This window comes from Homo sapiens, chromosome 6, assembly GCF_000001405.40.
Source record: "Homo sapiens chromosome 6, GRCh38.p14 Primary Assembly".
Taxonomy (NCBI): Eukaryota; Metazoa; Chordata; class Mammalia; order Primates; family Hominidae; genus Homo; species Homo sapiens.
Genome location: NC_000006.12, coordinates 104,334,874 through 104,360,984, shown reverse-complemented (window position 1 = coordinate 104,360,984; position 26,111 = coordinate 104,334,874). Strand labels below are relative to the sequence as shown.

Genomic DNA, 26,111 nt, shown 5'->3' with positions numbered 1-26,111 from the left:
TAAAGGTTTCTCTATATCGTGAACTGTAACAAGTGGAGCTGTAAATAGACTGAAGCCTACACTCGTGCCAATCTCCAAGTTTTGGCCAATCAAATGTAGCCAACTGTTCCAACCATGTTCTAATAAGGTAAATGCTGAGCTGTAACCAATCCAGCTGTTTCTGTACCTCACTTCTATTTTCTGTATGTCACTTTCCTTTTTCTGTCCATACATCATCTTCTACCATGTGGCTGCCCTGGAGTCTCAGAGCCTATTTTGGCTTAGGAGGCTGCCCTATTTGCAAATCGTTCATTGCTCAATTAAATTCCTTTAAATTTAACTCAGCTGAAGTTTTTTTTTTTTTTATCAATATCAACGTATAATTATAAGACTTTTATAGGAGCAGTGACTGAGATTCACTGGACATGGTCGGAGTATAGAGAAAGAGTACCTAAACCAAACTAGGTGAGTTAGGATTGTCTTTAAAAAGCCACCATCACTATCACCACCAAAATTCATTTGCTCATTACCGAACATTTGTGATATTATATTGATAGGCAGATCTATCTATATATCTATCTATCATCTATCTATCTATCTATCTATCTATCTATCTATCTATCTGTCATCTATCTATCTGTCTATCTGGAGAGAGAGAGAGAGAGAGTGAGAGAGAAGGGATTCCAGTTTTCTAAGACTTTATAAATTAACATAAACACACTGACTTAAAATGAAAGACACCAGTAAAGCAGTCATATTTACTGCAGTAATACTTCACTCAGAGAATTATATATGGAAGAAGGCAAATAGTTCAAGGTGTGTGTGTGTACATCTGTTTATTCCTTAGGTTCTCCAATCAGTCTGCAAATAACTGTCCTAATGAAAATTTTTATGATGTGATGGAGGTCACTGGAAATGCACTACAGTCATTAATTCATTACACAAAGGTCATTGTAGCTACTTTCAGATAGGATAACTTTTGCTCTCTGATGAACTGATATGCATGTGAGAGAGTCAATGTCATCTTCCAAGTCTCTAGAGCAATCTATGCCACTGTCATATCTTTTTTTTGAACCATGACATTCTGAAAAAGTGATTGTAACTCTTTCTTCTATTATTTCACAAAGGTTGTACTGTCAAGCACTCTCCAGGATGTATATTTTTAATATTTGGCTTCCTCCCTAGAATTGTGAACTCTTCAGATGCTGTGGTAACGGGCTTGAAAGTCATCTATGAACTGGAGTTTCTATTAATGTGAATAACAGGTATTCTAATTTCTTTCCACATTTCTCCTGGCAGATAAAACATTCTAGTTTGAGAATAGATCTCTAACCCATTCCCCAAATAATTAACAAGTATCTTTTGAAAACTTTAATTAAAGATAAAAAATCTGGGATAGCAGGGTGGGGATATATGTAATAAAATCACATAGTTTCAATTAAACTTCAGAAAAATTACACATATCCAGTGATGAATTTAATTTTATTTTAGAAGAAAATGTTGCTTAACCTACCTTTAGTTGAGGCATCTATATAAATGCTTGGCCTGATATTTTTTATTGCATATTTCATTATTCATTATTAAGTTACCGGCCTTTTTGCTTGGAGAAAAAGTCTATCCGTGAATCAATGATCTATCTATCATGTCTATACTATCTACTATAGATAATTTTGAATATATGTGCACCTATATCTTATGTTAAAATTAACATTAAAATCACTTAAAAGAACAGTATTCCATTGCATTTCTGTTAGAAAACAATTGTTATGATTTTAACCATCTTGAGAAAAGGTAAAAATGCACGTTAAAATTATTCCTTTTGTCCCTGCCTCTTTTTTTTTCCTAATTTTGTGATTTCTGTTTGTATTAAAGCTCATTAGAAATGAACAAATTTACAAATTAAATCCCCTAACTTCTCCAATATAAAGAATATGGTAAAATATTTATTTCAAACAATATGTCCCTTGGTATGAACATGTGCTAGGTCAGTTTTCTTGCTATATTTTGAAATAGGTCTAATTCAGAAGCTTTTTAGAGCAAAACATTGTACATTTGACAGTAATTGTGACGGATTTTCATAATGCACTGATGTAGCATGTCAAATCTTATGTAGTCAGTTAAATTCAGGGAAAGAAATTAAATTTGGCAATAGTTGGAATTTTTCTCTCCCTGTAATTAAGGAAAGCTCTCCTTCTTGCTATGCTTCATCTGCAATAGACACATTGCTCTCTTTAACATCACTTAAGGACACTCTAATTTTCTGTCAAATTCCAACCAACTTATGTTATCATTTTGTCAGTTTCCATTTTCAGTCCCCTTTCTGCCTTTGAAACGTTTCATCACGGAGTCAAAGGCATAAAATAAATGTTTCTCAACTTGTGATTCTTTCTTTTTCAAAGAAGTTTGTCTTCTTTAATGAGGGCTATCTCACACCAAAGTGTGTTTTATAGAGCAGAGAACAACAGGAAATAGACAATGCAGCTCTGTTAAAAAAATTGACATTGTCCATAAGGTTTTTTTGATTATTAAGTAATTAATGAAAGGAAATACAAAAACTATTAAGGTTTTCTGAAGGCCAGTTACATCAGGCATATAGTCTAAATAAACTAAGAGATCTAGAAGATTGATGTTTTAGTATTCAAATTCTATCCAGAGAAATAAATTTAGATTTGTACATATTGGTCAATAAAATATAATTCTTAAAAAAATTCTCTTCCTTCTCCATCGGTCTACTTTGTGCACGCTTGAGAGATTATACAAGTGGACAAAGCACAGGCAGCTGCAGCAGAGCAGGTGAAGTTGGTGCAATAGAGCTACATGACAGGACTCTATTACAGTAAGCAATACAATTCCAGAAATAACCTATGTGGAACATATTGCCTCTGCTACAAATGTCAGAAAATGGACTTTGATTGATGGTGTCGCAACACAAAACCACATACTAAAACTTTTTAATTATGATGACTGTAAAAGTGTATACAGCCTTGCCAGCAGAGTTAGTAGTTTTTATTATTAACACATAGGCAAATAACATAAATTCTGTATGCTCCTCAGGCCTTACAAATGTTTCTGATTGCTGCCATCAGCATGTATGTAAGCAGGAAGGCATGACTGAGGTCTGGTGATCATCACCTCTGAAGAGGGAAGCTTTCCATAGGGAGTGATTATCTACGGAGAACCACACCACCTGGAGTTGCCATATTGCTACTCTAAAAATTCCCTAATGTGGGAGAAAAATGTGTTCATTTGTGTTGGAAGATGTTGTTAGCAGTTAGAATATTAAATAGTGGTATGGTTTATACAGACTAAGCTCTATAGAACGCTCAGTCATAAATTGAAATACTTGTCGTTTAAACAGCTTCATAAACTTAAGAAAAAAACACACCCAACAAACATTCACAGCATTTCTGTAGAAGCATTTGCTGACAGTGAAAGTGGCAAAATTGCTAGTTTTTAGATTGTCTAGAGAAGTGGGTTGCTTTGAAGGATGAGTGATCTGATTTAGAGCAAGTTGGCTACAAATTCTGTTTTTTCAAAAATTGGATTTGCAAATTGAAGTTAAAACATATGGGGAATTTTTATTAGTTCACTTTTGTTTATTCCAAATTGCCTTATAAAGGAAATTAAAGAAAAGAAAGAAAGCCACATGGATATCACCAAATATGCACTGTTTTTCCATATTTCTTTGCTGCCTTAGCCTATAGCAAGTTAAAAAAATGTAATTTTAAAAAGAACCAATTATGATAATAAATTCTTGCCAAATATATATATACAATTTCTATAATTAAAGACAGTTTCTATAATTAAAAGTCTATTGTGGTAAAGAAATCTTTTTCTTCAGAATATATTTTGTCAATGAATATACTGAAATGAATTATCTTATAGAAACAGCTCTAGTGAAAATCATCTGTATTTTGCTGTGTGTGAAATTTTAGATGCATGTAATTGCAAGAATTTCATATTCTAAAATTTTTATCAGAGTCTGTAAGGCTGGCAATATTATTTTTTGCACTGGTGAGGAGATTGACTTTTTTCCTCAGGTGAAATTTAGATCTGTTAAAGGTTTAGTTATATTGAAAAAAAATTGAGAATTAGTGCAGAGATTAGAAAATGATAATGCCAAACTTAAAAAATTTCTTTTCTTTTTAAATCAAATTATAAGCTACCTGCTTTATTTTTTCCAATGTTCCATTTATTTGGTTTTAAACATAAAATAGGTAGTAATATTACATTTGGTTTCACTTTGAATTTCCAAGTTAAAATTTATTAAACATACACAAACAAGTAAGCTCTGTGAGGCCTGAGACTGTGCCTGGTTAGATTAAAATAATGGTCTCTCATAATAATGCTTCAAATTTATTAAGATATTACTTTGTGCCAGATGTTGTTCAAAGCACATACATGTAAAGCAGGATATTTCCCTGACCTGTTTGTGGGATTCGAGACAAGGGTGCCACAAGGGTCCGCTGCTCTCAACTCCTTGTGGGAGGGGGCGTGTGAGTGAATGAGTGCAGGAACTGGAGTGAACAAGTGCTGGAACTGGCTGGCCCCTTTGGCACCAGCGGGACCAAACTCCACTCACTTGGACCTGCTGCGTTCCACCCTTTGTGGGAGGGACCATGCAGGTGAGCAGGTGCAGGAACCAGCCAGATGGTTTAGCACTGGCAAGAGTGAACTCTGTACAGGCCTCATGGCAGCATCCAGGCAGGGGTGCCTGTGACTACTGAAGCTCCAGAGGGTGTATTACAGTGCTCTTTTAGCTCTGCCATCCATGGATGGCTTAAGTGTTAACAGCTCAGTGGACTCTTTGCATTTTCATGTGAGGTGGCTGTCCTCTGCCAGCGAGGGCAAAGGACAAGTGTGACAGCCTTTTTTATCCATACTTGTGGCTCCAGAGCTCTTGTCTGGTGTCCAGAAAAAATGAGGTTGCATGAATGAATTGAAGGATGATAAATGTGGGGGGGTTTTATTGCCAATGAAAGTGGCTGTCAGCAGGAAGAGGAGGTGAAAAGGGGACAGGGTAGGAAGGTAATCTTCCCCTGAAGTCCAGCCATCTCTGGCCAGATTCTTCTCTGAAGTTACACTGTCAAGCTGTCTGTCTGAAGTGAAGCTGCTTATCTCCAACGTCCAGCTGTAGTCCCATCTACTGGCTGAGTCTGGGGTTTTTATGGGCATAGGATGTGGCCAGGTGGGGCCGTGGGTGGTTTAGGAAAAGGCAACATTTGAGTGGGAAAACAGGGATAGAAGTTCTCCCTTTGGGCTGTGGTTTCAGGCTTTTTGGCTTGAGAGTGGGGTTTTGCCTGGAACCCACACTTTTCTGCCTAGAATTTCTCTGCCCCCTGTCCCTAACACATGTATTATCTTGTTTGGTCTTCTTGACCATTGCTCTTCTTTGCCTCAGCACAGCAGAATTAAATGTCTTAGAAGCCCTCGGCCCTGAGAAAGAGAACAGTGCCTCACCTTCTATTCTTTGCTATATGCATTTCATACTTTTTTTTAAAAAAAGAAAATAAGCCAAACTCAAAGGCATAAAACTTTCATAAATGCTGAAATTAGTATTTTCATTGAAAACTAATTTTAGATTTATTTGATTGTCAAATTATGAGTAGTTTTGCCAAAGTTGTACTTCACTAATTTTTAATTCCCCCCTTAGCTAATGTGTTCAATATGTGCTTAATTTGCCTTCTGTGAAATTCCTCCAGGACCCTCAATGACTAGAATATCCTGGTAGACATACTTTATTGCCAGCTGACACAGTGATAGGAATAAGTATTTACATAGCCCCTGTCTTCAGCTAATTAGGGAGATAAGACATATTGTTATAGAAAGTTTAAAAATAAAGAACACTTTAAAGGAACAACAAGAACTTATTTACAGAACAGCTTTCATGTTCATTTCACTCATTTGTTATTTTCTTTTTCTTTTTTCTGTTTCTAATCAATGTATTATTATTTTATGTAGGAAATTTGGGAAAAAGACATAGAGAGCCCATACAAATAATCAAATGTGGGTGGCAAATGAATGATACAAACTGAATGAAAGAAATTACACATTCCAAGTCCTATTGAGGTTTACATTTTTCAGCATCAGCAGAGTTGAGTGAAAAGTGCCCTAACATAGTAATCAGAGCACTGGGTTCCAGTTCTGCCACTGCCATAAAGTAGCTTGGGACAAGCTGCTTCATTTTTCTGGCCCTCAGTTTATTTATCTGGAAAATAATGTGGCTGTGGTGGATGACTGTGTTAGATACTTGTTTTTGTGTTCCCTTTAGTCTGTCCCTTTTCCTGTGTCAAGTCATTTCTTCTTCCAGAGTTATCTTTCAGCAGGAATGAGACTGTCAGCTTAGAAAAAAGAAATTAGCATCTAAATGCAAATGGGTGAGGGTTAGGATTATTTATTCAATGATTTCATTTTTTCCTATTTGTAATGAGTCTGCACTTATTGTGTGTAAAATGTTGTGGCAATGCAAAAGCTAGGAAGGTAGAATCTTTTTTCAAGACAGAATTCTAGAACCTGATGAACGAGAGGAGCAAGGGCTGTGCTATAGAACTTTTGAAGTGAGAAAGGTAGGATGGAGGATTTCATGGCAGCGTTGACATCTGAACTGGGTCCTTTAATCAACCAATTGTCATCTCATTTGTATGTAACATTTATTACGTAGAGCCCATTGTGTGCTAGTCACTGTGGGAAACACAAACAAGAAGACACAGACCCAGTCTTCATTTTCACCAAGCGAATTTGCCAGAAAAGCAAAATTTGTTTAAAAAATATTGCCTCTGATTTTCTTAGTATCTGACATTCAGGCAAAGACATTAATAACTTCATGGGCTTTTAAAATAATTCACATTTTATTGAGAAAAGCACAAAGTCATTTCCATTTTCTTAACCTAATAAAATGTAGCTCTCCTTTGGATTATTGTTCATTCAATAATATAGACTGGAATTTCACGTTAGCAGAAATATTACTGCATCCAATAGATTGTATCTTACTATTCTCTGTCCTTTCCAAAATCATGCTGTGCATGAAACTTTTGGTTTATGGGCTTTTCCCCTCATGAGAGTACTAACTTGAATGTGTTCTGTAAAATGTCACATTGTCCAAAAACTGGTTTTTCTAGCTTTTGTGAAGATTATATGGTCTATGGGTTCTGCCTGGTAAGTTTTTGTACATCACTCTACGTCTCTGCTCATGGTGAGCATCGCGGACTGAGAACAGCCCTACTTTTGATAGATGTCAGTACGTTTCCTCAGTGACTGATTTTTATTAGTTTCAAAAGATAACAGTATATGCATGCACACACGCTGATGTTTCTGAAGGGCATTGTGATGAAAGATTAGAATGCTTTTTGCCTTCTTCCTGATCAAACAGCATGTCTTAGAGAGCATGGGTACATTTACTTTTTTTGTCACCAAAAAGAATAAAATCTGTTGACGTTGTTACATATCATTCAGCTTCATTCATTCTTAATGCCAAAGTCTGCCTATTTGGTCAGTAAAGGTTGAGATCATGAGGTCAGCTATCACATAAATTTCAGTATATCTGGAATGTAATGTTAATCCAGAAGTTATTTCAAGGGAAAGAAGCAAGATACCCATGATTTAAGCACAGGTGTTTAATGGCCAACTGTGGAATTAGGTTCACCTCATAACAGTGAAAAACGCTACCTGGGGAATTGAAAATTAACACAGAGTGTAGGTTTTTATTATAATGAATACCAATGAGACAAAAGAACAATTCCATGAACTTAAGAAAGTTAACTCAGCTACACCTGGCAAGCTGTATATCACAGAAGACTTTAACACACACATTGGCAGCAATGTAAAAAAGCAAAAGGAAATCACTGCGACTGGCAAGACTGGAAAACTGAACATCTACAGCATCCATCTTAGGTGGTGAAACAGATTTTTCCTAAAATAATTCTCTTCTTTTCAAGCAATATGCATTACAGTTTTATCTCAGATATTGAGACCTAAGGGATGTTTCAAATCCTTAATGATAGAGTCTATCACTGCTTATTTATGCAATTATGCTAAACAATCTTAGTATGATGTATGAAAACATTGACTTCAGTCAGATCCATGTGAAGCTTTAGAATGTCTCTCTGCAAAAGTATCAAGTCTTTCCTTTGGGGTCTGGAAATCTTATCTTAAACGGATGATGTGTACAGCACATGAGGAAAAGCTTCTGATGTCATGTTCATTAAACTAACATGTATGGTGCTTCTTTGATGCACTGGATACTATCAGCAATAGACTCTGTCAATAGTAACAAGAATAAGATGCTTAAACTATGAGCCCTTCCCACCAACTGTTCATTATCTGATAACATAGGATAACCTTTACCATCCTCCAGCTAGACAGTATGTGATTTTTATAGTGAGAAAAATGGTATCCAAGAATTAGGTTGGTGTAAAAGCAGTTGCGGTTTTTGCCATTACTTTTGCACCAACCTAATAGATCATGCACAGCCAGTTTAAGAGGCTGTTATAATGGGTGGAAAGTCTGGCATTCACGACTTGAAGGGTCACTGAGGAAAGGTTAGCTAATGGCTATGGAAAACCTATTCTATGACAGAAATTCATGAGATTTTTCTCCACTGGTTTTATCATTTGATGCTTGCAGCATCTTGATGAGGAAAGGCAGTGGTCAGGATCTTTCAGGTGCAGGTGTCAGAAACCCAGTACTAATCAGCTTAGATAAAAAACAGAATATATTGGCTCACATACCTAAAAAACCCTGGGATAGGTAAAGATGCAGCACTGGGTCTCTCTTCATATACTGGCTCTGCTTTCCAGGATGTTGTTCTTAGTCCTAGGCTCTGCATGGTGACCTCTGGTCCAAATTTAGAGGAAAATAACATCTCTTCCTATCAGCTCCTAGGCAAATCCTTGAATTACTTCTATTTGTGCCCTCTTCTGCTCTCCTCTCCTCTCTTCTCACTCTATACCTGTTTCTTGGTGATCTCATCTATAACTTCAACTATTACCTGCGTGCTCATGGCCTCCAAACCTACTTTTGAAGCCCCTGCAGTGTTCCTGAACCACAGACCTGTTAAATTCCCTCCTAGAAATCTTTACTGGAGGTTCCAGAGGTAGTTCTGTAGATAGAAGTATCTAGGGAAGACTTTGTTATCTAGGTGGTCACCTGCTTCATTCCAAGAGTGGGGTTTGAGACTGGGCAAGATGGGCTTTGAGGGGAGGGGCATGTGTGTGTCTAAGCTATAGAGTCAGAGAGACTTGAGATTATAGCTTGCTTCTATACTCACTACACTAAATGCCAGTTTCATCATTTATAAAATGAATACAATAAAATGTTTGTTGCAATGATTAAATAGGGCTATATATGTATCTAAATATCTATAAATAGGGATATATATCTCTTTATATATCTATATATGCATATATATCTCCCTATATATCTATATATACATATATATGTGTATATGTGTGTGTGTGTGTATGTGTGTGTGTGTGTATATATATATATATATATATATATATATATATATATATATGAAGGTTTCTTTTGAGTGCTGGAAACATAATAAGCTAAGGATGACCATGAAATTTCTATTGGCATGTTGACTCTGACAGTAACCATTGGAGTGTTCTGTTAGGGAGAGCTATGAGGAAATGTCCAAGATTATTAAGAAAGAGATCTGTAATCATTCAGTGATCTCTAACTTGGTTATGAGAAGGTAAAGGAGCAACCCTCATGCCTCACACTCGCTTCTGAAACAGGCACTCAATGAATAAGCCAGCATTAGTATGTTCTGTCGTGGTTATTATTACTTCCTTCTTGTTGTTTAATATCACCATCTACTCAGGTTTCTAGCCTAGGCCATAGTATTGTCTTTCCTTTCCTATTTCAATAGTTTATATTCAATTTGTGATGCAGATTTTTTTTGTATTCTCTATATAAACCCCTCCCCTTAATGCTTTAAGTCATTCTCTGTTTATTTCTCATCTGGTTCGATGCAATTTTTAACATTTTCAACTCAAATTTTACCTCTTATTTTAGATTTTGCTCCCAAGAAAGTTTTCCCAGATTGCAAAAATTGGAAAAATTTCAACTCCTCATCATGGTACATAAAATCTTTTCTCACCCAAACCTTGGCTATCCTTTTGAAGTCACTATTACTGACCTCACTACACAGCCTGCTCTCCACTTATATTGATTTCTCTTCAACCACAATCATCTCAATTCTCTCCCTAGGTTGCTCCTAATTCCTCAGAAATGCCCATTCCTTCTTTTGGCTAGGTAGTGCTTAATTACCACTCAGTCTTGGCCCAGAAACATTTTTCTGAAGAACATTCCCTGTCCCATTATTTGTCTTTCCTATGAGGTAACAGAAGCTCTATCATAACAGCATCTCATTCATTCATTTATAAGTTTACTCATTTGTTCAACAATTACTTAATATTAGCCAAGAATTTTTCTAGGTACTAAAGATACAGCTGTGAATAAGATAGACACTATGTCTGCTTCTTTTAAGGTTTCCATTGTGATGCTGCTGGTGGTAGTTGGGGGTTGCAAGGTATAAACAATTACATTTTAGAATAACCATGGTTTCCATGGAGGAGTGGGCAGACTCCAGGGGATGTAAAAATTAATAAGCTGAGCCTTGGAAGAGAAGTGTTGGAAATTGTACTTACATTTTTATCTCATGCTTTTTAAATTTCAGTTTTATGTATATTTTATAATACATTTTCCATATTAAAAAACTTTGTAAATAATTTAATATTTATGAAATACATTACTATTTCCTAATATGTGTTCTAGCCAGTTAAGTTTTGTCTAAGGTGGGTTAGGCAACGTTGAATAGGTTTCTGTTACAGCAGAATTTTTCATAACTTACAACTTTTTAAGAGATGGATATAATATTCTGTTTGCTTCAACCATGTAATGTATTTCAGGATACTGGAGGAGTAAACATGACCTTCTGAACTGCATTTGTGTCCACAATTCACTTAGCCATTTCTGTGTTGGGCTGAATTGGCTTTTCTCAATTCATTGTTTGATTCTTCACTATGGGAACTACATTGCCTAAAATCATTTTCTTGGGAACTACATGTCCCAGAATCCCTGACCTGTAGTGTTGTAGGTAACATTCTGTCAATGAGAAGCACAAGTGAGAGATTTGGAAGGTGAGAGAAAAACATAAGCCACTATTCTTGAATGACAGCTGTGAGCAAATGGAATTCTATGTTACAAACAATTATTAATGATGATTGTAATATATAATACAGTGACAAAAAATAATAAACTAGATTAAAACAGCATTTGTGGCCTCTACATATTATTGCAGTGATCTCCAAAACATAGGTCTAAATTTACATTCCCTCTTGTAGTAAATTAAAAAAATGCATATTTGAGTTCATCCTATTGAATAGTTTCATTTCTTAAAAGTATTTGCAATTTGAAAGATAAAAAATGAAATATTTTTGTTGCATAGCTTTACTATTCTTTGATACTGAATGCTTTTCAAATGTTTATTGGTGTATTGGTAAGAAATGTCTTTGGCCAAAAATAACAGAAAACGTAGTTGTGGTTTAAGGAAGTGTGAGCATTATTTTTCTCACATGGCATTTCCTCACATAACAAGAGTGAAATTGATTCAACTGCTCAAAAGCAACATTAGAAACACAAGTTCTTTTTATATCTTCACTTCGCCATCCTGAATATCCTGACTTTTGCCGTCATTCTTGCTGCCTTGTGGTCACAATACAGCAGCTATAGTACCGATCTGCTTTTTTTTTTTTTTTTGTTCTGGGAGAAAAAAGAAGGAAAAGCAAGAAGAAGAAAAGGGAAAAAAATATATTTTTTCTTGTGTCCTATGGCCACCAGTAGCTGCAAGGGAGGCTAGGACCACTGTTGTATGTTTCAAAGAACTAAGAAGAGAATCGTTTAACAAGAATATAAAGTTAGGCATCTTTGCTTAATTGCATATTCTCTTTGCAAATTGTTTAAGACTTTTATCCATTTATTTCAGTTTCAGTGATTTTCAAATTTTTGTATTAGGTCTATAAATAGTAATTATATTAACCATTTATCATTTTTTGGTCTACATATTTTTCTAATTCTTCCTTCAATTATATTTATGTAATATTTTTTAAAGAATCACAAACTATATGTTTACATATTTTATCAATTTCTTTGGTAACTTTTTTTCCATTGTTTTAATCATAGACATTTTAAAAAACTGCATCACATGATTTAATTGTAAAATTTGCATACAGTGAAACGACAAAGTTTTGTTCCTGGTTTCTTTTGGTTATCATAATGTTTGTGCATTTTTTAATATTCTCATATGTATTAGGGGTTAATTATTTTTTATTAACAAATCAACTTCCACTATAAGAATAAGCCACACTTTTTTGTGTAACCTTCTATTGAGAAACATTTGGGTTTCTTCCAGTTTTCTACTATTATGAGTAATGTGGCTATAAAAAATCTTGTAGAAATCTTTTTTTTTGAGTGGATATATGTTTTTACTTCTTTTTGAAATAACTGAGAGTGAAATTGGTGGGTCACAGTGTAAATGTATATTTAATGTTGCATGAAACTGCCAAATCAATCATTTTCCAATGTGGTTGAACCATTTTATACTCTCTTCAACAATATATAAGAATTCCAGTTGTTCTTTACCCTCACATGCATCTGGTGTTGTCATTTTTTTCTTTCTCATTTTAATAATTCTAGTGCATGACAAATGAGATCTTGTGGTGGTATCAATTTGCATTTCCCTGATGCATAATGGCATTAAACACCTTTTCATATGTTATTTGTCATTTATCTTGTTTTGCCAAGAGTCTGTTTAAATCTTTTGCACTTTTTAAATTACGTTGTTTATTTTTATTACCAATTTACGGGAGTTCTTAAAATATTCTGTACTTAAGTCATTTTTCAGGTTTTTTTTGTGTCACTACTATCTCTTAGTTTCTGGCTTGCCTTTTCATTTTATTAATTGTGTCTTTTGAAGAGAGAAATTCTTAATTTTTATGAAGTTTAACGTTTTATTTTCCTTTAAGATTTAATGCTTTTTTTGTATCGTTTATAATTTCAACTTTAATTTTAGATTCGGGGGTACATGTACAGATTTGTTACACTGGTATATTGTGTGACACTGAGGTTTGGGGTACAAGTGATCCTGTTACCCAGTTAGCAAGCATAGTACCCAAAAGGTAGATTTTCAGCCCTTACTCTTTACCCCTCTCCTCCTTCTAGTAGTCCCCAGTGTCTATTATTCTTATCTTTATGTCCATATGTGCCCCATGTTTAGCTCCCACTTATAAGTGAGAACATGGATCACTCAGTTTTCTGTTTTTGCATTAATTCACTTGGGGTGATGGCTTCCAGCTGCATCCATGTTGCTGCAAAGGACATAATTTTATTTATTTTTTATGGCCACAGTTTATAAGGAATTTAAACAATTCATCAAGCAAAAACCAAATAATGCTTTTAAAAAATGGGCAAAGAACATGAATGGACACTTTGCAAAAGAAGACATATTAGGTTGGTGCAAACGTAATTGCTGTTTTGGACCATGAATTTTAAATCATGATAACAGGCTCAAACACATCTTTATTAATCAAAATAGGAACGATTATGATCAACATTTTTTTGCCAATAATTTTTTTTTTTTTTTTTGAGATAGAGTCTCACTCTGTCGCCCAGGCTGGAGTACAGTGGTGCGATCTTGGCTCACTGCAACCTCTGCCTCCCAGGTTTAAGCAATTCTTCTGCCTCAGCTTCCTGAGTAGCTGGGATTACAGGCGCGTGCCACCATGCCCAGCTAAGTTTTGTATTTTTAGTAGAGACGGGGTTTCACCATGTTGGTCAGGCTGGTCTCAAACTCCTGACTTTGTGATCCGCCTGCCTCAGCCTCCCAAAGTATTGGGATTACAGGTGTGAGCCACCATGCCTGGCTGAAAAAATGTTTGTTTATTCCTGTAGCATAAAACTTCATGCTTTGGGATTCAACAAACTCTTGGAAAGCATTTCCTGCATCCTGCTGGTGTGGAAGCGTTTTCCCTGCAAAAAGTTGTTGAGATGCTTGAATAAGTGGTGTCAGTTGGTGAGAGGTCAGATGAGTATGGTAGATGAAGCAAAACTTTGGAGTCCAATTTGTTCAACTTTTGAAGTGTTGGTTGTGCGATGTGCAGTTGTGTGTTGTCATGGAGAAGAATTGGACGCTTTCTGTTGACCAATGCCAGCTGCAGGTATTGCAGTCTTCTGTGCATCTCATCGATTTGCTGAGCATACTTCTCAGATGTAATGGTTTTGCCTGGATTCAGAAAGCTGTAGTGGATCAGACCAGCAGCAGACCACCAAACAGTGACCAGGAACATTTTTTGATGCAAGTTTGGATTTGGGAAGTGCTTTGGAGCTTCTTCTTGGTCCAGCCACTGAGCTGGTCATTGCAGGTTGTCATATAAAACCCACTTTTTGTCTCATGTCACAATCCGATCAAGAAATAGTTCATTGTTGTTGTGTAGAATAAGAGAAGATGACACTTCAAAATGGCGATCTTTTTTAAATTTTCACTCAGCTCATGAGGCACCCACTTATAGAGCTTTTTCACCTTTCGTATTTGCTTCAAATGCTGAATGACTGTAGAATGGTTGACATTAAGTTCTTCGGCAACTTCTCGTGTAGTTGTAAGAGGATCAGCTTACAATTGTTCTCAGTTGGTCATTGTCAACTTCCAATGGCCGGCCACTACGCTTCTCATCTTCAAGGCTCTTGTCTCCTTTGCAAAACTTCTTGAATCACCACTACACTGTATGTTAGCAGTTCCTGGGCCAAATGTGTTGTTGATGTTGTGAGTTGTCTCTGCTGCTTTATGACTCATTTTGAACTTCAATAAGAAAATTGCTCAGATTTGCTTTTTGTCTAACATCATTTCCATAGTCTAAACTAAACATAAAATAAAAAGCAAGTAATAAGTCATTAGCCAAAAAAAGTGAGAAATGCCCATTAAAATGATGTATAACATAATCACATTTATTTAAGAATGTATTCCAATATCAAACCACAAATTCCAACCACGCAAAAACTGCAGTTCTGTTTGCACCAATGTAATACAAACAGCCAACAAACATATTAAAAATGCTCTACACTGCTAATCATCAGAGAAACACAAATCAAAACCATGATGAGATGCCATTTCACACCAGTCAGAATGGCTATTATTAAAATGTCAAAAAGCAACAGATGCTGGTGAGTCTGTGGGGAAAGGGAACACTTATACACTGTTGGGAATGTAAATTAGTTCAGCCACCGTGGAAAGTAGTTTGCAGATATCTCAAAGGACTGAGAACAGAACTATCTATATCTTTAGGAGATCCTTGTCTTCCACAAGCTAGTTAAGATTTTCTGTTATATTTTATTCCACGTGCTTTTTAATTTTAGCTTTAACATGTAAGTCCATGATCCATCTCAAATTAATTTTGTGCAAGGCATGAGGCAGAAATCATTTCATTATTTTTCCTTTGTTTATCCAGGTGGTCCATCACTATTTGTTAAAAACCTTTCCTTTCTTCATTGAATTCCCATGATGTCTTTGTCCAAAGTCAATATATGGTGTATGTATGGGTTTATTTCTGAACTCTCTTATTTCATTGATACATCATCTATCTTTGTGACACTATTGCACTATCTTGACTACGATAGCTTTAAGTCCTTATATCAGGTAGTATGTCATCTAATCTTGCTTTTATTTTAAAAGATTGTTTTTAGAGAAATCCATTTCTGGAAATATGAAGTAGATGTAGTATTTTCTAATCTTTCCACTAGGTTCAACTAAAAAGCCTGGATATTATATTAAAAACAAATACAAAGAGACCCTGAAGACAGGAAAGAGACAAACCGGCTAGGGATCTCAAACTCAAGGAGCAGTGTTGTGATGATTTCTGGGGGTTTATGTTTGCCTATCTATCCAACACTTGGAGTTAAAGAAGCCAGAGACCCAGAAACGCCTATGGGCGCAGACAAAAAGAGACTCAAAGGAAACTTATTCTCCAGCCAAAAGACCAGGAAAATGGCGGCTTTTGAAGACAAAACTTTTAAACAATAAATGAGCTTTATGCCAGCAAAACACCACAGAAAAATCTATGGTCCCCACCCCATCCACTTGAACAAAAGCCTAGTAGGGAGAATCAACTTTCATCTTAATCAAAGGGTGCAGTGGTACATTCTAACCCATTTGCCACCCTGTCACTGTCAGTAAATCGCCTGTAAAGAGTTAGAAGTTTTTCCCCATATGGTGGAAAGAAGCTGAACCCCACCCCACCTTCTCTTGCTGTGTCAGTGGAGAGCATTTGAGGAGCTCCACCCAGTAGTAATGAGGTACCCCCTTCTCTTCATTGCTGGAGGATTGTCAGAGGAAACATACTGGCAGGTAAAGACTTTCACCACCTCCCAACATTAATGAGGCCACCCCTCTTTGTTGTCAGTGGAGGCCATGTCGGGGGCCAGTAATCTCATTCCTGCTCAGCAATAATGAGGAGTTTCATGGGTGTTGTTATAGCCCAATGGGGCTTCTTGCCTGCCACACAGAAAAGCCAATACACTGTGACAGTGGTGTTGCATCAGAGAAAGAGTTTATCTCAAAGCGGCTGAGTGAGAGGACAGGAGATATTTCTCAAATCTGCCTCCCCAAGAGCTCAGAGGCTAGGGTTTTTAAGGATAATTTGGCAGGCCAGGTGCTAGGGAATTAGTGCTGCTGATTGGTTGGGGATGAAATTGTAGGAGTGTTGGAATTGTCCTCATGTACTGAGTCACATTCTGGGTGGAGGTCACAGGACCAGTTTAGTCAGTTCCTTATTATAAGTCATGGGTCCAAGTGGCATAAGTCAGTTTGCCAGAGTGCAAAAGTTTAAAAATATTCAAGGACCAGTCTTAGGTTTACAATAGTGATGTTATCTATAGGAGAAATTGGGGAAGTTACAAATCTTGGAACCTCCGGCTATATGACTCCTGAGCAGTAAGCAAGCTAGGGAACAATGGCTGATTGTTGCGTATGCATACGTCTTAGTATAATTCAGTCCCTTCTCTGTAATTCTAACCTTGTGGGCTTTCATAGTTTTACAAAGGCAGTTTTAGTCCCTGAACAAGGAGGGGGCTATTATCATCTTTGCTTTAAGGTTTAATTATAAACTAAATTCCTCCTCTGGTTAGCTTGGCCTATGCCCAAGAATGAGCAAGGGCATTTGGCTGGTGAGGTTAGAAGCAAGATGGAGTCAGCTGTGTTAGATTTCTCTCATGGTTGTAATTTTTCAAAGGTGGTTTCAGTGTCAAGAGATGTCAAGTGGGAAAACTGGACTTTTATCCCTACCTAGCATTAATGAGGTGGCGAATCTCAATTTCAGCCTGAATGGTATCATGGGAAGCCAACTCAAATGAAGGTTTAAATAAAATTCAGGCTCTTATAATACTCATAATGTCACATTTTAGTAGAAAACCACTCATCATACAAAGAACCAATCTCAAACTGAGCAAGAAATGATATCAAACAGATATCAACACTGATATGGATATGTTGGAATTATATGACAAGGATGTAAAAATAGCCATCATGAAAATGCTTCAGTGAAAAATTATGAAAATGTTTAAAATAAGTGAACAAATAAAAGAAATTCTCAATAAAGAAATAGATGACACACATAAATAGGAGCCAAATAGAAAGTTTTAGAATTGAAAAATGCAATAACAAGTATAACACTCAGTGGAGGGGCTAAACAATGGAATGGATGAACAGGGTCAATGGTTGGGCTAAGCAGTGGAATTGAGGGAACAGAGGAAAATGATCAGAGAATGGGGAAATAGAACAGTGGAAATTATCTAGTCTTAACAACAGGGATTAGAAGAACTATTATAGATGGCAGAATTTTCTTCTTTTTAAAGACTGAATAGTATTTCCATTATATACATATTGGATTATATATTATTATATATATATTATATATTACATAATGTGGGGGTGTGTGTGTGTATATACACACACACAAATATATTCATCCTTCACCCATTGATTTATACTTAGGTTGGTTCCATATCTTGACTATTGTGAATAATGCTGCAGTGAACATGGGAGTGCAGATATCTCTTTAACATATTGATTTCAATTCCTTTGTATATATACATAGTAGTGGGCTTGTTGAATCATATGGTAACTCAATTTTTAACTTTTAAAGAAACTTCCATCCTGTTTTCCATAATGGCTGTCATAATTTACATTCCCACCAACAAAGTGCAAGGATTCCTGTTTCTTTATATTCTCTCCAACACTTGTTATCTTTCATCTTTTTGATAATAGCTGTCCTAACATGTATCAGGTGATATCTCTTTGTGGGTTTAAACAGCGTTTCTCTGATGATTAGTGATTTTCAGCACTTCTTTCATATACCCATTTGTCATTTGTGTCTTCTTTTGAGAAATGTCTATTCAGATTCTTTGCCCATTTTAAAAATCAGGTTACTTGTTTTCTTGCTATTGAGTTGTTTGAGGTTTTTTTTTTTTTGTTTTTTTTTTTTTTAGATGGAGTCTTGCTCTGTCACCCAGGCTGGAGTTCAATGGCGTAAGCTTGGCTCACTGCAACCTCCGCCTCCTGGGTTCAAGCCATTCTCCTGCCTCAGCCTTCCAAGTAACTGGGACTGCAGGCATACACCACCATGCCCAGCTAATTTTTGTATTTTTAGTAGAGACGGGGCTTCCCTATGTTGGTCGGCTGGTCTTGAACCCCTGACCTCAAGTGATCCACCCGTCTCAGCCTCCCAAAGTGCTTGGATTACAGGCGTGAGCCACTGTGCCTGGCCAGTTGTTTGAGTTTTTATATACAGATGAACTTTAGAATTATTTTGTAACATTAAAGAAAAATCTCATGCATATATTCAGGGTATATTGTTTAATTTTTAAGTTAATATGGAGAAAATTATTCTTATTATATCATTTCATGTACAGAATAAATCTGAGAGAAAAAAATTCTGACTTACTTCTGAGTAATTTTGCTTGGTCTACAAAGGGGGTCTCTATACTAAAGCTATTTCCATCCACCATTACAGAGAGATCTACTGGGGTTTTTTTTTGGTTTGTTTTGTTTTTTTGAGGGGACAACAATGACTGGGAAAAAATTTTAAGCAGGCAGTGATATAACAAACCAGTTCATTTCCAAAATGCCTGAATATATAGGTATTAAGTTTTATGCTACATTATTTTTTTACTTAGTCACAAAAGACTTACTTATCTGTAATGTTTAATTTTATATGTTAACTCGACTGGGTCACAGAACGCCCAGATATTTGGTTAAACATTTTTTTGGGTGGGTCTTTGAGGGTTTTTCTGGATGAGATTAACATTTGAATGAGTAAAGAAGATTGCTCTCCTTGACGTGAGTGGAACTCATTAAATACATTGGAGAAAGGAAAAACAAAGGACCAAAGAAGAGAGAATTCCCTCTCTTTGCCTAACAGTCTTTGAGCTGGAACATTGGTCTTTTTAGACCTCTGGAATCAGACTGGAACTTTCACCATCAGCTCTCCTGGTTCTCAGGCCTTTGGAGTATGAATTTTGGGATTTTTCAGCCTCCATAATCACATGAGCCAATTCCTTATACATTTCTCTCTTTGTCCTCTCTCTCTCTTTCTGTTTTTCTCAGTCTCTGTCTTCCTCTGTCTCTGTATCTTTCTCTGTGTTTCTGCCTCTCTCTTTGCCATTCTCTCAATTTCAGTCTCCCTCTCTCTGTATGTATGTGTATATATATATGATCAATTACAACAGAATGGGCCTCCTGTGGTAATTATTGTTGTAGAGTTTGAGTTTATGGAAAGATTTAATAGGTATGTATTTAAAATAATTCTTCACTGGAGCAAACCCTCATAGAGTATTTATAGTATTGGAAACTCTAGTTGACTCCATGGAAATATTCCTACATTGACATCATAAAGCTTTTTCAACTTATTTTTTTGTACTTTTAAGTGGAAAAGTCAACTTGGATGATTATGATCTCCATTTAAACATATGCCGTTGAAGACTAACGTGAATTTATAGTGTTGAAATACTAATAAAACCTTCAGCTTGAATTGAAATATTTTTCAGAGTCATGATTGATAGAATATTTATTTCCCCTTCCATGTTTTGAAGATTTAGTATACTCTCTACAGAACTGCTAAATATACATGTCCTTTAGTTCAATTCAATTCAGAGAGAACATGCTTTCCTTTTTTGTATGTTTGTGTACGTGCTACAGCTCATAATGACCATATTGCGGTTTGAAAATATTCATCTTTTTTAGTTTTACCAGGAAATACAAAGCTTTGCTGCTTTTAGCACTGAGTTAAAACTCCATGTAGAAAATGTCAAGCCCTCAGAGAAGTTATTCTGATGAAATGAGAGAGGAGACTTGGCTTCCTAAATTATTTTGCCTTTTGCATACTTTTTCTTTCTTTACTCATTATTTGTTGGGTGTGGGTGACAATAATCTAAAAGAAAACATCTGGTTAGCATGTGACTTGCATCACCAAATCTCTAAAACTAAAGGATATGTGATTCATTATTGTCTTCTTTTCTTTGAAGCAAACATTCTACATTTCTTTACTGGAAAAAAGTGCAATACTATACTTTATGAAAATTAGAAAAAATGGGAGAGGATCTTGGGGTTTGACTGAACGTAATAACCATCTAGACATAAGGAAAATACATATATCAATTATCAAAAAATTGATAAAACACTGTTACACAATTGTGAAGGCATGGATGAAAATGAGGAGAATTAGATGATCTGTAACAAAAATAAAACAGTAATAGTAATAATACTAATCATTTATTGAACACTCATTATATGCTAGACACTGTGCTAGGCTAAACATGAATTTTCTCATATATAATTTTCAGGGAAACCCTGTCATCCAGATACTATTATTATTATTATCATTTTTGAGTCTCAGAGAATGACTTACTCAAAGATAAAAGTTTATTTGTAAAGTAACATTGGAATTAACAAAGCTGTAGAATATTAGAAGGAGGATAGATCTGATAGGAAATTTAGTCAAGTCCTAAAATAATGCCAACAATCTCAGTAGTTATAATTGCTAATATTTATTAGCAATTATAATTGCTAATATTTATTAGCAATTATAATTGCTAATAGTTATTCACTAATATTATTTATTGTGTGTTTATTATATGTCTTTCACTTACTTTGTAGGTATTGTCTCATTTATGGTCATAGTGAGTCTATGAGCTAGGCACTATGTTCATTCTTATTTTACAGACAAGAAAATTAAGGCACTGAAAGATTATGTAAGTCTCTTAAGAATCAAAATCTTAGAGAATGTCCTTCAAAACATCATGACGTCTCCTTTCCCAAATTCTGAACCAGCTGAGAAAGAAACTGAGATAGTCATCTAAGGGGCAAATCAAAATATCACTTTATGAGCAACATATTAGAATGTGGCTTATTTCTGTGGGCAACTGGACCTCCAAAGAATGAACCTTAGGAATGGTTCTGCTTTCCTGGGGAGGCCTATCTAAATGGGGCTGTGAACTTGCAAGAAGAAGGACATGGCGGAGCTGAAGCTGACAAGCTCTCTTTTTGGTGGGCCCATTCCTGAGTGATAAAAAGGGTGGGCATTGGTCCTTGAGTGATCACTTTCTCCTACTAAATTCACTAGCCAGATATGCCATTCACCCTCAGGGTTAAGTGAGGTGATGGACAGAGGCCTGGAGGATGAAGCCAATGAAATATCTCCATGTAGAAGGGAACAGCAAGAGTATAGAACAAATGTTTTCCTCAACAAGCTGCTTAGTGGTGAAGCAGATCCACTAACAGATGTACACTGGCATTCTTTCTAGTATGTCCGTAAGATAGTGTGTATAAAGCACCTCGTACATTGTGGCACTTGGAAGCACACAATAAATGGTAGTTGTTGATATTATTATCAGTATTGAGCTGTTGCCTTAGTGTTGGAGTCAGGCTTTTCTGACTTCTGATCTCACATGTTGAACCCTGTATTGTTTCTCAAAGCGTGTCCATGGGAGGAAGTGTTTTTTCATCATATCGGCTAATGATCTTTCAACAGAGTAGCTTTCTCTTGTAATCAAATGTCTAAGACTGGACAATGAGGTGCAGAAATATATAGTGTGAATCGATATCTTTCAGTGGCTGCACAGGGAGCCTCTGGACGTCACTCAGTGGGAAGGAGTCCATTCTGTAGTGGCCCAGCAGCAGTTTTGGAAACTCAGGCTTTGTTCTTTCCAAATCAGGCTTAACCAGGTCTTGGGTAAAACAAAAATAATGTTTTTTCTTTTTTTTTTTTTAAAGCAAACTACTGCTTTGTCCATGAACACCTTGTCAACTTCAAAGATTCACTTCTGTTGGAAATAAACAGCATGAGCAGAAGGCTGCCAAGTTACAGAAAATTTGAAGATTCTTGAAGATTCTTTGATGACAACAAGTACTTTTTCATTAATTTGAAAGGATATTTTATGAATAGCCAACAGTTCTAAGAAAAAAAATGAAGTCAAAGATACTCACTGAACAGTTCTAAGAAAAAAAATGAAGTCAAAGAAAAAAAAAGCTCATTTTTTCCATGTGAATTTCTGAGGTGATGGACTTTAACTAAGCCATTAAGATTTTTAGGTGTTCGTGTGTGGGTGTGTGCGTGAGAGAGACAGAGAGCGAGCAAGTGCATGACAGCGGCTGGTATGGATGTCTGTATGCCTGATTTGCTGCTTCCACTGCTCTCATTTATAAGGAGCCCACTATGTGCTAGGCACTGTACTATTTACCTGAATTATTTCATTTAAGATTTGTGACTTCTGCTACTGTCATTTTTAATGAGCTTACTGTGTGCTAGGCACTGTGCTATTTACCTGAATTATTTCATTTAAGACCTTGTCTGTCTTTCTCACTCCCGTATCCCCAGTGTTTGGCACCGTGTCTTATGCATAGATACTTGGTAAATCTTTGTTAGTTGTTGAATAAATGAAATAATAAGAATGGAAACCATTAGTCAATATGGAGGTATTAAACCAGTGATGTACAAGGTTTCTGATATTCTATAGTTTTCAATTCCTGCTCCTAGTTAAACAATGGACATTTATTGAGCACCTACTATGTGGCTGGAGATGTATAAAACTCTGAGGACATAGCTAAACAATTCACAATCTCCAGACTTAATGAATTCAACTTATTGCCCAGCATATGCCAATATTAACTGGTGAGTCTTGAATGTAATTAAAATCTCACAATTTATTTGATGCTTTCTCTATTAAACAGGCTTGGCAGGGTGGCTTCTTGATGTTGAAGTGCTGAAAATGCTGATTTTTAATGGTTTTCAATTGAAGATGTGGTGATGACAACATCCCAAACATAACTTTGTTCTTCCAAGAGGTAAGAAAAGCGACATTCGTCTGTCTAATTTTACATTTTACCAACTAAGTCAGGCAATCAGAAATGGGCTTTACTTGTGTGGAACAAAAAGTATCTCAGAAGAAGGAGGAGAAGGAGGACAGCAGCAGCAGCAGCAGGAGGAGGAGGAGAAGGAGGAGGAACTATCCTTTATTATTTTTTAAGGATCCACCTTGGTTCCAGGCATCATGCTGGCCACTTGACATGTTATCTTTAATTCCTAAAACATCCTGCAAGGTATGAATTATTATTCCAGTTTTGCAGATGAGGAAAACCAGTATTGGAAAGGATACTTGCCTTGTTCTTGCCACACAGCTGTAAGTGGTAGGAGCAGAGAACTCACACCAAGGTCTGGCTTCAAAAGCTTTGTCTTTCATCAGGCAGGGCTGCCCTAACTCTTGATCGATCAGCATGTGATCAAGGACATTTTACATAATCTAAACTCCTTTTTATTTCATTCATTTCTCATAAGTCTCAAGACTATTTATTAAATTCCTAACCTTCTTTGTTAGAAAGATTGTAGCTAGACCGAAGAATCAGAAAAAAATTTAGATTATATCAAAGATGTATCTAATTTTCACTACATTCTGAGTAGCTAAAAGTGTAGATGTTGAATTAATATTTTATAATATATTACCAAGTATATAATGCGTAATAAAACACATACATATTCCAAGCAGAGAATAGATGGGTACCTTTCCTTATATTTTAGCTCACCATATTCAGCTCACATATTTTTAAATAATTTATCTCCAACTTCTAAAAATATGGCCTTTATTCCTTGATCTTAATCCTGTTTTTCATTCATAGGAAAGTGCTATTTTTATGGGCCAGTGAAGCTTATATACCATTGAGTGACATTTAGATACTACAGTTATTTCTGTGTGAGGAGAATTAATCTCTTCAAGAAGGAAACTCAGAGTCCTTCCCTCTGTTGCCAGGCCCATCGCAGAATATCTCCAGTTATGTTTTCTGTTGAGAGAGCACAGCCTTCAATAGTGTTTTAAAATTTAAATGTGAAAAAGTTTTAAGAGCCAATGTAATATTTTGTTTGTTGAACCACTTTTGTATCATATTTTGTGACAGTTAATTAACAAATATGTATAAATGTTTTTATGTATAAATTAATTTTTATTAGAAATTAATGGTACTTGTGTCAGGATTGTGAAAGTATTGAGTGTGAAAGTATGTGAGCAAGTGAGTAAAAATTTCTGCAGTTGGAAATGAATGAAAAATCTGCTGGAATATGTTTATGAAAAGGGAATTATAGCTTTTGCACTGATTTAAAATTTTAAGGATCAAGTAACTGAGTTTGATTCTTTTTAAACATTGATTTGATTTTTACAATTTAGTTTTATTTTCAGTCCTGTCTCCAGTAATCATTTCATTTTCTTTCTTTCTTTTTTTAAGGAGAGCTCTCTGACTTTTTTCTTTCTTCAGGCAGTGGAACACAGGCTGGTTAAAAGTACAATTTTTCTTCCTTTATCTGCCATTCTCCTTTCTTCCCTCCTGCCCTTCTTGAAGCTTTATTCCTTGGTTCCTCTGCAACAATACATCCATTACTGATGGCTAAACAGACCAAGTATAAACAACACTGAGAACGTTCTCAGTTTGGCTTTTTTTTTTCCTTTGGTCTTTTTTTAGTCTGGCCTTTGGCAAAGGTTCATGACAGTAAATTGCTGTATGAAAAATGTTAGTTTGGTCACTGGTTGGTAATTGGGAGTGGACTTGAACGCATGGTCTTGGTTCAGATTTCCATAGTGAGGAGAGGTCACTGTCCCAGTTGGAAAGAAATTAGCCTTGAGCTCCCGAGTCCTCTGCTGTCAGGACCCCCTGGGATTGCTTTGTCTGCGTATTTACCTTTTGGTATCAATTTTATACATGTGATCACTAAGCTTTGTTTGAAAATGTGATATAACTGAGGTGGTAAGATTAACAAAATGGAAGGCAGAATGAGAAAAACGAGAAAGATCAGTTTTGGTAGTGAAAACCCCAAAGAAAGCTTAAGTCCAGCACGAACCAGATTTTCTTGTTGGTATTCAGCTTTTAGGTAAATGACAGAAGTAGGATGTTTGAAGCAAAGAGTGGAAGAAGATGATGGAAACAATCCTAATCATTAAAGCAAGCGACAAAAACAGCAGAATAGGCGAGTGGGCCTCTGTGTCAGGAGCAGGTGAGGCTAATATATCAGTTCCTGACAGTTGGATACATCAGGTTGCACAAATTACAGGCTTTTACCGAGTGAATTTTGGAGCAAGCTTAAGGTTTTAATATGAATTCCTTCTGGTGACAATTATCAGAAGGAACTGTGTTACACATTGTGAAAAGAGGGCACAGATCTCAGGTCACTGAATGCTCAGCCTTTTAGTTGTGCTTGGATCATCTTGTGTAGCAAAATGCACGGCTGATTTAAACGACAAAATGGAGGCAGACGTTTTTAGAGAAAGAAAGGGGAGGTGTGCACAAGCTCTTTAGACTTTACTTTTGCGTAGGTATCATGGGAAAACAGATAGCTAGGCCAAAGAAACATACACAAACAACACATTCTATTTACATCTGTGTCCTTTAAAAACGCAATTACTTTATAATCAGTTATTCTTTTAGCAGGAGAATTTTTACATTGCCAGCTCCCCACCTCTCCAGATGACAAAAATAATCAGCTTCTTTCCTCAGTTTCAGTGATTAAGCATATGTGGAATTTTTCGATATGTTAAATTTTAAT

At 36.0% G+C, this 26,111-nt stretch overlaps 1 long non-coding RNA gene across 1 annotated transcript; it reads left to right on the top strand.

The window, feature by feature from the left end:
- Positions 1-1,208: 1,208 nt before the first annotated feature.
- LOC102724443 (uncharacterized) lies at positions 1,209-24,467 on the top strand. The gene is made up of 3 exons (XR_942829.2): positions 1,209-1,244; positions 22,301-22,583; positions 23,258-24,467. It is a non-coding gene; the product is annotated as an uncharacterized LOC102724443 (long non-coding RNA).
- The last annotated feature ends 1,644 nt before the right edge of the window (positions 24,468-26,111 follow it).